This window comes from Homo sapiens, chromosome 10 (assembly GCF_000001405.40).
Source record: "Homo sapiens chromosome 10, GRCh38.p14 Primary Assembly".
In the NCBI taxonomy this organism is placed as follows: domain Eukaryota; kingdom Metazoa; phylum Chordata; class Mammalia; order Primates; family Hominidae; genus Homo; species Homo sapiens.
The window spans coordinates 2,861,519-2,874,839 of record NC_000010.11 but is presented as its reverse complement, the minus strand read 5'-3'; the positions used below and the strand labels follow the sequence as shown (position 1 = coordinate 2,874,839).

Here is a 13,321-nt window from a genome sequence, read left to right as displayed (position 1 = left end):
ACTTTAGATTTTTCTAAAAATTGCCCCTCTCTGCAGAGAGGATGTGAAAACCAATTCTGAGCACAGGAGAGAAGGTTGGTGAAAACTCATGTAAGTGTTCAAATGCATGTGGGGTGTTCTTTCTCCTGTTTTCCTTTGGACCAAGGTGCTTGAAACTAGGGTGATGACCCAGAAAAGGGCTCTGGGACCACTTCAAATAACACTGTTCATTTACACAGAAATTATAGAACTGACTCGAGCCCAGAATCTGTGCACTGTGCCATGTCGCCAGCATGGCCAGCTCTCCTGTCCTTCCCCATAATCTTCTGGGGGCTTGATTCCCGAATTCCTAAGTAGGGCCGATCATATGGGAGTTTTCAGGAAGGGCTGGGTGTCCTGGGGTTTTTCTGTGGCTGATTCATGTGGTGTTTTTTTTGTTACTGGCATCCTTTTGATTAAAACTAATAAATCACAGCTTGTTTAAGCGACAGTGATGGTTGGATTGTAGTTTTTGCTTCAGGGAAATCTGTTATGGAGAAAATCAATTCACATTGTCTGGAAAAAAAGGAATAGGTCAAACACCAAGACAGGGACAAAATCCTTTAGCAGCTAGTTAGTCATTGACATTGTCTAGAGGTGCCTTCATTGTGCTCTAGTGGACACCTGGCTCTTTATTGAAGACACCTTTTTTCCAGAGTTTTCCAAAGTGATTGTCATTTTTCTCCCATGGGTGGAAGAAGGGCCACTGCCTCCTTTTTCCCCAGGTGACACTGGAAGACCTTTCTTCCTCTCTCCTTCCTACATCTTCCAGCTTTGATGATCATAGCATCAGGTTCTATTGCCTCTTCAGCATTTTATAATCTCCTCGTTTCCCAACGATCTTGGTATTCAGTGTAACTCTGTCCAAGACCCCTGCTGTTTTAATTCTCTTAGTTTCTGTGCACATGAAGGAGATCTTCAAAACATGGTGCCTCCATTCCTGGAGCTCCTCTAGCTGTCTTGTCCTGGTTCCCACCTCTTCCATCAGCATGCATGGAGCTCCTCCAGCTATCTTGTTCTGGATCCCACCTCTTCCATCACCATGCATGGAGCTCCTCCAGCTGTCTTGTCCTGGATCCCAACTCTTTCATCGCCATGCATGGACCCCTTTGACAGCAGCTCCTGCCTCTCCAGCTTGAGGGCCATGGGCCAGGCATCCTTCTTTCCTACAGTGCCTCCAGCCCGTGGAATGCATGGCACTTTTGTTTTCCATTTCTTGGTGCTCTTCCCTGCTCTATGTGCAGCCTTCCCCTCTTAAGCTTCCAGTCCATTGTCAGTTGTTACCACGATTCTCTTGGCCCCTCTATCTCTTCATTTGCTTGTTTCTACCTGTGCCCTTCTACGGGGCAAAACGCCTGGCCCAGTGTTCTTCGTCTGAACTGCAGAACACGGAAAATGATTCCATGGCATTTTTTTTTTTTTACTGTCTTGAGCATGGTACACAACCAGGATCATTTTCAATGCAGAGAAGAGCAGTGAATTCATGGGACCTGAGCAGAGAGAGGCATGGTTAAGATGATGCTTTAAAACCTAAGATTGCCAGGCACGGTGGCTCATGCCTGTAATCTGAGCACTTTGGGAGGCTGAGGCGGGTGGATCACGATCTCAGGAGTTCAAGACCAGCCTGGCCAAGATGGTGAAACCCCGTCTCTACTAAAAACACAAAAATTAGCCAGGCATGGTGGTGCTCACCTGTAATCTCAGCTAATTGGGAGGCTGAGGCAGGAGAATTGCTTGAACCAGGGAGGCAGAGGTTGCAGTGAGGTGAGATCACACCACTGCACTCCAGCCTGGGTGACAGAGTGAGACTCCAGCTCAAAAAACAAAACAAAACAAAAACCTAAGATCACTGCACTGCTAAAAGCCTTGCAGCCTTCCTGCCTCACTCAGAGGGGAAGCCCGAGTCCTTGCGATGGCTTACAGTGATGGCATGACCTGCCCCCCAACACCCCAAACCCTTTTATCTTATCCACCACCACCCTTCCTCACTTTCTCGTCTCATACTACATTGGCCGATGGATCAGCTGCACTCCTGGCCTGGGGCTTTGAGATCCTGCCCACTTTGCCTAGGAAGCTCTTCCCCACATACCCGCATGGGTTGCTGCCTCCCATCCTCAAGTCTGACCAGGTCTCATGTGCCCAGCGAGGACCCCCTGGCTGTTCCGTGGTGATGGCCGCTCCCCTTTGCCCTTCACTCCCTATGCATGCCCTGCCCATCCTCTACTTTTCATTTTTCATTTGGCCTGATTGTCTTTCAACATACCATGTGTTTCTTTATTATTCTTATGCTTTATTTTCCCATGTCCTCCAGCCTGGTTGTGGTCCCACGTGGGCAGGGGTCTGTCTGTTTCACTCACCGCTACGTCTTAAGCACTCAGAGGAGTTCTCCTGAGAGCTGATGAAGAACTGTTTATTTGATGCATGAAGAAAAGAGAACATGTATTTCAAAGGAGATGCTTCTGTGGCCCACTCAAATCACAACTGTTCAGTGATGAAAGATGCGACATGTTAGTATGTGGAGTGTGACCCAAGTGACATGTTAGTGTGTGGACTGTGACCCGGGACATCTTAATATGTGGAGTGTGACCCATGTGTCATGCTAGTGTGTGGAGTATTTCCCATGTGACATGTTAGTAAGTGAAGTGTGATCCATGTAACAGATTAATGTGGGGAGTGTGACCCATGGGACATGTTTGTGGAGTGTGATCCATGTGACATGTTTGTGGAGTGTCTCCATGTGACATATTATTATGTGGAGCGTGATCCATGTGACACATTAGTGGAGGTTGATCCATGTGACATATTTGTGGTGTGCCTCCATGTGACACATTAGTATGTGGAGTGTGATCCATGTGACATGTTTGTGGTGTGTCTTCATGTGACACACTAGTATGTGGAGTGTGATCCATGTGACATGTTTGTGGTGTGCCTTCATGTGACACACTAGTATGTGCAGTGTGATCCATGTGACATGTTTGTGGTGTGTCTTCATGTGACACATGAGTATGTGGAGTGTGATCCATGTGACATGTTTGTGGAGTGTGATCCATGTGACATGTTTGTGGTGTGTCTTCATGTGACATACGAGTATGTGCAGTGTGATCCATGTGACATGTTTATAGTGTGCCTCCATGTGACATGTTAATATGTGGAGTGTGATCCCTGTGACTTCCTAAAGTTCATCTGGGAATGTGGACCCAGGAAGCACTATTTAAAAATAATTTCCAAGGTAATTTGATACAGCCTGTCCCTTCACCCTCTCCCAAGCCCCAGATAAAATGGCTCCGGGGTAATATGCATGCAGGCTTCTTGTGTGACTTCAACATTCTTCCTGCCTTTGAGCCTGGCTGCAGCCTATGCCACCTTGGAGCCCAGCTCCTCTCTGAAATCTGCCTGGAGGAACCACAGCACTGTCTCCTTCTTCAAAGCCCCCTTAGGATTTTTGCTTTTTACTGATCATGCAGCACTTAGGACATTTCGTCTTGTGTTATCATTCTTATAAATAGTCTTTGTCCTCAATATCTTGTGTATGCTTCTCTTTGTGTTTTTGTATCCCAAATATCTAGCAGCCAATAAACTTGTGATGATGATGAAAACTGGAAAAAATAGTGAGAAAAATGGCAAGAAAGGATCACAGATCAAACATGACTTAGAAATGAGGTACAATCCATGCTCGCCTCTGATCTGGGTCAGTTTGTGCTTTTCTGGGTGTAGAGTTGCTGTGGATGGGAAGACAGAGAAGAAAGCTCATCTAGGGCGGGGGTGGTGAGGGCAGTGGGGGGCAGAGGGAAGAAGGCCAGAAACCCACACAGGCTAATTTGTGGGGAAGATGGAGGATGCTTAGTGTAGTGGATCTTCTGAAATGTAAATGGCAGTGGGATAAATAAGTATATATTTGAGGCTGCGAAAATACACCCTCTGAAGCTAATGACAACATAATGATCAAAGAGATCAGTGTTGTCTGAACAAGCTAACAGCCTGCGTCTCTATAGTGACAGCCTCTCCCATCGCTGCTGAGAAGCTCCAGAATTAATCTTGACAAAATTCTGGTAAAAAATTGATTAACGTAGAAAATGACTCTGCTTTTTTTCTCTTTCTTACTTAGTCCACTTGCCAGGTTGAACAAAAAAGCCTCATATACAAATCCCCAATTCACATAGGAACTGGTAATGTAAGTAATGTCTTCACTTCTGTGAGCCTATTATCAGGGTGAGTGAGCCTGATATGAGAGTTAAAAATGCCTAATTCGTGATTGAACATTTTTTCCCCTGCACAATATCACGTCATATGGCCACATACTGGGTACAATACACCTCTGATTAGGAGCAAACCTCTGGCTGATCGATCATGATATTAAGCAAATGTTACTACAGATAGGGCAGACCTCATCAGATCCTGAATTCCTGGAGCACCCACCCTTTGTATCAGTCACTCAGCAATTGACTTTTTACTTTCTTGTGATAGCACCAGTGTTTTTGGGGTAAATAGTTTTTTTAAAAAAATTAGAGACAGCATCTTGCTCTGTAGCCCAGGCTGGAGTGCAGTGGTACAATCATAGCTCACTGCAGCCTCAAACTGCAGGGCTCCAGCAATCTTCTCATCTCAGCCTCCCAAGTAGCTGAGACTACAGGTGTGCACCACCTTACCTGGTTACCTTTACCATTTTTGTAGAGACAGGGCTTCCCTATGTTTCTCAGGCTGGCCTCAAACTCCTGCATGCAAATGATTCTCCCACCTCAGCCTCTTTAGTAGCTGGGACAACAGGTGCATGCCACCACTCTTGGTTAATTACAATATTTTTTTGTAAAGATGAGATCTCTCTATGGTTCCCAGGCTGGTCTCAAACTCCTGGCCTCAAGAAATCCTCCTGCTTTGGCTCAAATAGCTTTTTGAAATCTTCTCTGTATGTTTTAAAAGCATGTCATACGTTTTTACCCTGCATCTCCAGCTGTTGAAGGTTCTGAGAATCAGAGCTGCTGATAGGTGTCTATCAGTTTTACATTCTACCAGTCTTTCTAAATCACAGAAACTCAGGAATCTAGTGAAGAGAGGTAAAGCCATCACCAAACACTAATAGAACATTCATCCAACTAACAAACACATTTGCTATTGTAGGGAAGTGGTTCGTGCTTCTCACACACTCCCAGGGCTCCACTGAACAGTTCTGGGTATTCCAGCCTCACTCTAATGCCCAACACCTGCATCTTTGGTGAAACGCTATGCTGGGGTTGCTGGAACCCCATTTGTCCATTTGCATGACAGAACCAGGTGTCAGGGAATCAATAAGCCCTTGCCTATAACAGGTATGCACATCTGTTCAGTGAGTCACCTCCTTCCTGGAACTTTTGCCAGAATTCTGAGCTATGTATTTTTCTTGGTTTCCCAGTTTCACTGTAAGATTAAGCATCAGCTGCCCATGGCCTTAATTGTGCAGCCCTAAGTGGCTGCCTTCCCTGCCCTAGTCACTTCCTTTTTCCCTGCACCTCCCAATACACTTTGCACAGTCCCCCTTCCCCTCAGGACTTGCCTCTCGGGAGAACCTCACTTAGACAATAGGGACTGACGTGGTCCTAGGAGCCAGTCCTGGATGGGACTCTAGGGTTGGGGCATCTGCATGTCTGATGGCACCTCAGTGGCTGGTAGGGTGTGGTCATCCATGATTGGTGCATTAATAAAATTACTAAGATGCCCCCTGTCTTAGTCCACTCGGGCTGCCACAACAGAATGCTGCAGACTGGGTGGATTAAATGACAGACATTTATTTCTCAGAGGTTTAGAGGCAGGGAGTCTGAAATCAAGGCATCAGCATATTTGACTCCTGGAGAGGGCTCTTCCTGCCTGCAGATGGCTGCCCTCCTGCCGTGTCCTTCCTCACTATGTCCTCATATGGCCTTTCCTGGGGGCATGTGCCTGGGAGACTGAGATCTCTTGTCATCCTCTTCTTTTAAGACCTTCGGTCCCATCTCTGGCCCTTGCTCACATGACCTCATCCAAACTCTTGAAGGCCCAGCTCCACAGCCCATCACATGAGGGTTAGAGCTTCAAGTCTGATTAGGTCTGGAGGGCACAAGACGGCCTGATGACCAGACAGCCCCAGCCCATTCCACCTCCCCTGGTGGGATGGACACTTCTCCATCAGCCTGCATCTGTGTTCCTAGGACCAGTGAATGGAGAGGAAACATTTGGACCTTTTCATGGTGAATTTGTTACATTACTGGAGAACCTAAAAATGGGCTCCAGCTGTCCCATAGCCCATTTGGGGTGGTTCTGATGGGCAAGGATGAGGTAAAATTTAAGGGGGTGGGACATTGTTTTAAACCATCAATTTGTGCTCAACTTCTTTGGAGGGAATCATGGCTGGAGGTAAAGATGGGTCTTTATAGAGAGAGGTGATGGCTTGGCTGTGAATAAGAATCTGAGGAGCAAGACTGGCAGATCTGAGCAGGGACCTCTCGGGCAACCACGTGCTTGGAGTTAAGGGTGCCTCAAATCCAAAGGTCTTTGAGCCTCACATTGATGTCTCCCAGACAATGTGTGCCCTGCAGAGGGAAGAAATGACTCATCCAGGGAGAGTTTATCCAACTTGTCTCTAGAACATGGTGGGCTCAAGAATGGAACGGCCATGGCTGCTTAGATGTCCACTGTGCATGGCTCCCCAGGCATGACTTCCGCTCCTCCAGCGGATTCAGGGATGGCCCCTGCTGAGTGCCTTTGAGGGGTCCTCCATGTTGTGGTAGCATGTTGAGGACACCAAGCACTTTCCATCATGGGGCTGTGTGGGCTTTGCCCTTCCTGGGGCTGATAGACACCCTGGGCACTGCTCTGTACTTTCAGCCTGCAGGGAGCTGGCCAGCACCTTCAGCACAGCCTCACAGATTGCATTGTTGTCATGCGATTCTGCATCTCATACTTCGGATAAAGAACCCGCTGCATTAATTTCCCATTGCTGCTGTAACAAATTACTGCAAACTTGGTGGCTTAAAACAGCACTTTTTTTTTCTTGCATTATTATCTCATCGTTTTGCAGATCGGACGTCTGAAAGGGCTCTCACCTGGCTAAAACTAAAGTGCTGGTAGGGCTTGTTTCTTCTGGAAGCTCTATGGGAAAATCTGTTTCCTTGTCTTTCCCGCCTTCTGGAGGCCACCTATGTTCCTTGGCTCATGGCCCCTTCCTCTATCTTCAAAGCCAGTGCCAGCGCCAGCCTGTCCAGCCTTTCCCGTGCTGCGTCACTCTGGTGCTGACTCTCCTGCCGTCCTCTTCCCTCACGCTAACCCTGGGGATTACATGGTTGCCCACCTGGAAAATCCAGGTTAATCTCCCTATTTTAAATGCATTGACAACTACAATCCCTCCTTGCTTATAACAAGGTACTCCAGGTTCTAGGGACATTTTATAAATGAATAAACTGAGATTCACGGTGGGGACTAACTTGCCCAAGACATTTTTTGGGGTGCATCACTCTGCCTTTGATACCAGTTCATAGTGCAGAGGTTGTAACAATCAGACAGCCCGTTAGCATTGCCACATGCTGCAATGTTGGAAAGTCCTGGGCTAGCAGACATCCGTGTAGACTCCCAGAGAGGTGCAAAGTCTCCAGCTCAGTGTAACAGCTGGAAGGGCTGCGGCATCCCTCAAGGGTCTGCGCACATCTACTGACTGGAGGAAAGCCGCTCGTTGGGTAACAAGTGGTAGAAGGAGGCCCCCTCATCATGACCCTGAACAACCCACTTGGAAATCTTGGACTCCCATTTTTGGAGCTTGGGCTCTGCTCACCTGAAGGTCCTGATTCCAAAGAGAAGGGAATTTTTTGAGCAGGGGTCTCATGACTGTTACATGAAGGCTACATTTATGGCTATAGGACTTCACCTATGGGACTTTCTATGGTCCCCAAAGAGTAGGCAAAAAAGAGATCATTCTGCTAGCAAAGACAATGGACCCTGATTACCATGAGAAGGTAGGATTGCCTCTCGCTGTGTGGGTGGGAGGGTATGTCTGGAGACTAACAGGTTCCTGGAGGGGCTTTTGTGGCATCCAAGTCGAGTAAACACTGTGAATGAGAAGCTGCAGCAGCCATCAGCCTGACAAAGGCCCCGACCGGGATGCCAACCCTTCAGGCATGAGGGACTGGGCTTTTCCTGCTGGGCTTGTAACTGCCACGAGCCAACATGCTGACCAAGGGTGAAGGGGTGTCTGGAATGGGTGGAAGAAAGAGAAGGTTCACATAAATGATCACCTTGGGGCCAATGGCAGCATGAGCAGGTCTCACTACAACTTCTATAAAACTGTCTTTTCCTCTTTTTTAATTTCTTGTAAGAATTGGGACTAACCACCACTTGGAGGAGAAGGCAGATTGACAAGGGAATAACCAGGTGTGAGGAGAGGGAGGGTTCGCATCGTGGCTGCTGCTTTTCTGCCGGGACTCAGGACCACTGGCCACTGCCAGGAAAGCCGGCTGCCCCCGAGGCCGGCAACATCGTCCCCAGGGGCTACCCTCGGGGTGCTGGGCCCTCTCTTGCTGGACACCCACACAGTCCACTCATCCAGTGACAGATGAGCTTGGGGTTTAAAGTTTCCTGGGCTCTGGGCCACCATAGCTGTGAGCCACATTTCATATCATTTCTGAGAGCTTCCCTGCAGGATGAGCTTCAGTGGCTTTCGCTGGTGTTGGGTTTAACGACGCACTCGTTATCAGGAGCCTTCACTTCTCCACATCCTGTGTTCGCTCTCGTGCAGATGCTCCTGCACACGCAAAACAACACACGTGCAACACGCATGCAACACGCGTGCACTCCACCCAGGGGAAGCTCAACATGCGTGCACTCCACCCAGGGGCAGCTCAACACGCGTGCCCTCCACCCAGGGGCAGCTCAACACGCGTGCACTCCACCCAGGGGAAGCTCAACACGCGTGCACTCCACCCAGGGGAAGCTCAACACGCGTGCACTCCACCCAGGGGCAGCTCAACACGCGTGCACTCCACCCAGGGGAAGCTCAACACGCGTGCACTCCACCCAGGGGCAGCTCAACACGCGTGCTCTCCACCCAGGGGCAGCTCAACACGTGTGCACTCCACCCAGGGGAAGCTCAACATGCGTGCACTCCACCCAGGGGAAGCTCAACATGCGTGCACTCCACCCAGGGGCAGCTCAACACGCGTGCTCTCCACCCAGGGACAGCTCCTGCGAGACTCGAGTCTGAGGGGAGCACAGGGGCCGGGATGACTGCCGTGCACCACAGCCCGCAGGCATTCAGATCTGCAGGTTCTGTGTTTTCAAAAGCTTGGAATAGATAGGTCATTCCTGGTCTCTTATTTTGAATCATGAAAAAAACTAGTTTTTATTGTAGTGAGCAAAAAAAAAGTTTACTTTTTAATTGTCCACCCAATGAGGAAGATACTGATAGCTATAAGGCACCCATGGTGTGCTTTCAGGCACCGATCTAAAAAATGTACGCATATTATCTCACTGATTTATCATCATATTATGAGATTGCTGTATTGTCCACATTATATTCATAAGGAAACCGAGGTTTCGAGGAGGTGAATAACTTCCCCGAGATTACACAGCAGGAGGTGGGGCTGGGACTCAAACCACGCGTCTCTGGTCCTGATCCCATGCAAGCTCCAGCTCATGTTGCTCAGGTTGGTCTCGGAATCCTGCTTGCAAGTGATCCTCCTGCCTCAGCCTCCTTAGTAGCTGGGACTGCAGGTGCATCATGGCAGCACTTTTAGATAATTAACAATTTTTTTTTTCAGGGCCTCAAGCAATCCTCCTGCTTTGCCTCAAAAAGTTTCCTAAAATCTTCTCTCTCCCTTTTTTTTTTTTTTTTTTTTGAAATGGAGTTTTGCTCTTGTTGCCCAGGCTGGAGTGTGGTGGCACAATCTTGGCTCACTGCAGCCTCCACCTCCTGAATTCAAGCAATTCTCCTGCCTCAGCCTCCCAAGTAGCTGGGACTACAGGCACCCATCACCACACCTGAATAATTTTTGTATATTTAGTAGAGATGGGGTTTCACCATGTTTGCCAGGCTGCTCTTGAACTCCTGACCTCGTGATCCGCCTGCCTCGGCCTCCCAAAGTGCTGGGATTACAGGCATGAGCCACTGCGCCCGGCCTTCTCTCTCCTTTTTAAAAGCATGTCATATGTTTGTACCTTGCATCTCCAGCTGTAGAAGTTTCTGGGAATCAGAGCTACTGATGGGCGTCCATCAGTTTCACATACTGCCAGCATTCCTAAATCACAGAAACTCAGGAATCTAGTGAAGAGATGTAAAGCCATCACCAAACTCTAATATAGACACTCAAAGTTGCGTGTCTCTGGTCCTGATGCTCCCCTCTCACACCCTCCCCAACATGGCTTACTGTAGGCCTCTGAGCCCTGCCTATTGACTTGATCTTGTTGACAATGGATGAGGCTTCCAAGGAGATCATTACGTCTTGAGATAAAGTCACCTCAGGGAAGCCAAATTAAATCATTCCGTCGGTTGGTGACCTATATGCTGATTAAAATTAAGTAACATAACAGGCCCCAGGTGATTTATTCCTTTAAATATACTGTAATTTCCCCTGTGCTTTGAATCACATCATCCTCCTTTTCTCTCAAGAACAGACGCCACGCCTTCATCCAAGTGTTTGATTTGTTCATTGAAGAGATGCAACCAGGTCATAAAATAGGTCAATTTTTAAAATATATGTCTTATAGGTCAGATTTATTTTAAAAAGGCAAAATTGAGGTCAGATGCATGAGTCATTGTGCAGTTTTTTACTTTTGAATTCTGCCTGTAAGAATGAGGCAACCTACATCTCCAAACAAATGTATCTGCATAGAAAAATTCAGGTTCTTGTTTATTCCCTCCTCATTCTCAATTTGTGAATATGCAACTACAAAGTTAAATTCCCTTTCCTTAATTTTTTTTTTGGGTAAACACTGTCACATTGTAAGCTTCTTTATTTATCTTGTTCATTAAATAAGCCAATTCCATGTGCCAGGCACTGGGTTAGTCACCCACTAGATCAGGAGTAAGGGAGTTTAGTAAAGTGCTAGTTACAAAAGGATGGGCAAGCTGTAGGAAAACCAGCAAGCCAAAATGCAGTCAGGGACTTACAAGAGTAGGGTCAGTGACTGCCAGCTCTGGAGGGTGGGGTGGGAATAGTTACAGAAGCTCAGAGTCAGCCCAGCCATATGGACAGCCTTGCTTGTCAAGGAAGGCGGCCCCCTGTGGGGTTCCCCATGGAGAGATGGTGAGGTTGAACGCTCTGCCTAACTCCTTTCATCTGTCTCCTGGGACTCCCCAGCCCCCATGCCCACCCGGAGGCCACTGGGATGTGCTGCAGGGCAGCGTCTCAGAGCACAGGGCTGGGTGGGAACTTGGGGGCATATACGGGGAATAAAGAAAAAACACCATGGCCGGGCGTGGTGGCTCACGCCTGTAATCCCAGCACTTTGGGAGGCCGAGGCGGGTGGATCATGAGGTCGGGCATTCGAGATCAGCCTGGGCAACATAGTGAAACCCCGTCTCTACTAAAAAAATACAAAAATGAGCTGGGCGTGGTGGCGCACACCTGTAATCCCAGCTACTCGGGACGCGGAGGCAGGAGAATCACTTGAACCCAGGAGGCGGAGGTTGCAGTGAGCCGAGATGGTGCCATTGCACTCCAGCCTGGCAACAGAGCAAAATGTCAAAAAAAAAACCCAAAAAAAGAGAGAAAGAAAGACAGATCACCGTGCTGCTGATACCGAGACACTCAACCTGATGGTCTTGCCAACTACAATCTAAACATTTCTTTAATTCCAGCAAGTCTGAAGCGAAGTGGACACACAGAGGGTGTCCTAACATATTCCTGAGGAAGGTGGGAAGGATTCTGTAGAAAGCAGTCCTTAAACTGAGATTGACAGATTCTTCAAAATACCGTATCACTCACCTGTGAAAAATAATTAGTAACAAAGACAATCACTGAGAACTGAGGCCTTATGAGAGTTCTGCAGCATTGCAAGGTGTATGTTAATTTAGTGTTCGTTGGTACAGCAATGTGGAAAGGTATATTCATGGAAAGAAAAAAAGATCAGACAAATAAAAGTAGTAGAACTTTCAGCACCAGTGCACACCAGGAAAAGGTATTTAAGTAGACGAACTACGGAAGGGTATCAGCTGATGAATTGTCTTGGAGAAATCAGTTAAGATAAGCTAACTGAAATGGTTTTTACATAAGCAAAAGCTAAACATGTGCTAAAATATGAGGTAAATCAAGAAACCCAAAATACACTGATAAAATGAGCAGGCCAAAAATAATCTGTAAGTATTCCGTCTGTGCTTCTACTAGTAGAAACCAAACGAAGCAAATAATCAAATATTTTGAAGATATCCTACTGGTTTACATTTTGGCAGAATTCTGAATAAATAATTTAAGTGTCTTGGCAAGCAGAAAATGGTTATAAAGGGGAAAAAGCAAAAATGTAGAAGGATTAATCAAAATCCTTAATGTTAATGTCAATAAGTGTTTATAACTCATGCTCAAAAAATGTCACCTAATTTTTGTAAAAGATCTGGAAAATGAACTTGCAGCAAGCTCTCAACAAGTCCCACTGGACGGCACAAGGTCTTCATCATGGCAGCACAGTGTGTTGGCACCTGCCAATGAGTTCATCATGCTACTTGGTTAGTTTTCTCTCTCGATGTCCCTCTTTTCCTGTAAGATTTTAAGTCCCTTGCAGGCAAGGAGGCTGACTTATTCCTCTAGCACAGTGACTTGTAGATGGTCATAGCTCCAGAAAAAATGTATCACCCTGAGGGCATGTTTAGTGAGTTTTTACTGAGAGATCAGGCTTCATAAAATACCATGGGTTCTTTGTTGAGAGGGTAAATGCTGTCATAAAGAATCAAGCAATTCTTCAAGTGCTCTTCATGTTTCTGGCAGTGGTTAAGAGGAATACGCTATCATTGGAAGCACTTTGACAGTGATGAGTGAGAACGGCTGCGTCCAAGACAGGATCTGATGTTATTTATAGCATTTTAATGGGCAAATAGTGAGAGATGTGATAAAAAAGACGTGGAAACCAGCATGAAAGACAAGCTGAAATATATTGTAAATGGGAATGTAGATCATAACGCTGACAAATCTAGTTGAGAGTGATAGTTTGAGAAAGGGATTGAGAAAGGATAGTTTCCTCCTATTCCAGTCTGACTGGGGAAAGAAAAGTTAAGCTATTCCACAACTAGGAGGAGGAAAATAAGTAAAAATCCAAGGAGAACAAAGGTGAATTAAGAAACAAATTATAAAGATGCTACATTAAATATTTACTACAA

The 13,321-nt window shown here is 46.8% G+C and overlaps 2 annotated features.

Moving 5' to 3' along the window:
* Positions 7,785 to 8,635: an enhancer, noted in NCBI's record as "OCT4-NANOG-H3K27ac-H3K4me1 hESC enhancer chr10:2908397-2909247 (GRCh37/hg19 assembly coordinates)". NCBI's record gives its function as "activates a minimal SCP1, AML or CMV promoter by ChIP-STARR-seq in naive H9 embryonic stem cells {active_cell/tissue: H9 hESC(naive)}" and the evidence as "EXISTENCE:reporter gene assay evidence [ECO:0000049][PMID:30033119]".
* Positions 8,636 to 9,486: an enhancer, noted in NCBI's record as "OCT4-H3K27ac-H3K4me1 hESC enhancer chr10:2907546-2908396 (GRCh37/hg19 assembly coordinates)". NCBI's record gives its function as "activates a minimal SCP1, AML or CMV promoter by ChIP-STARR-seq in primed H9 embryonic stem cells {active_cell/tissue: H9 hESC(primed)}" and the evidence as "EXISTENCE:reporter gene assay evidence [ECO:0000049][PMID:30033119]".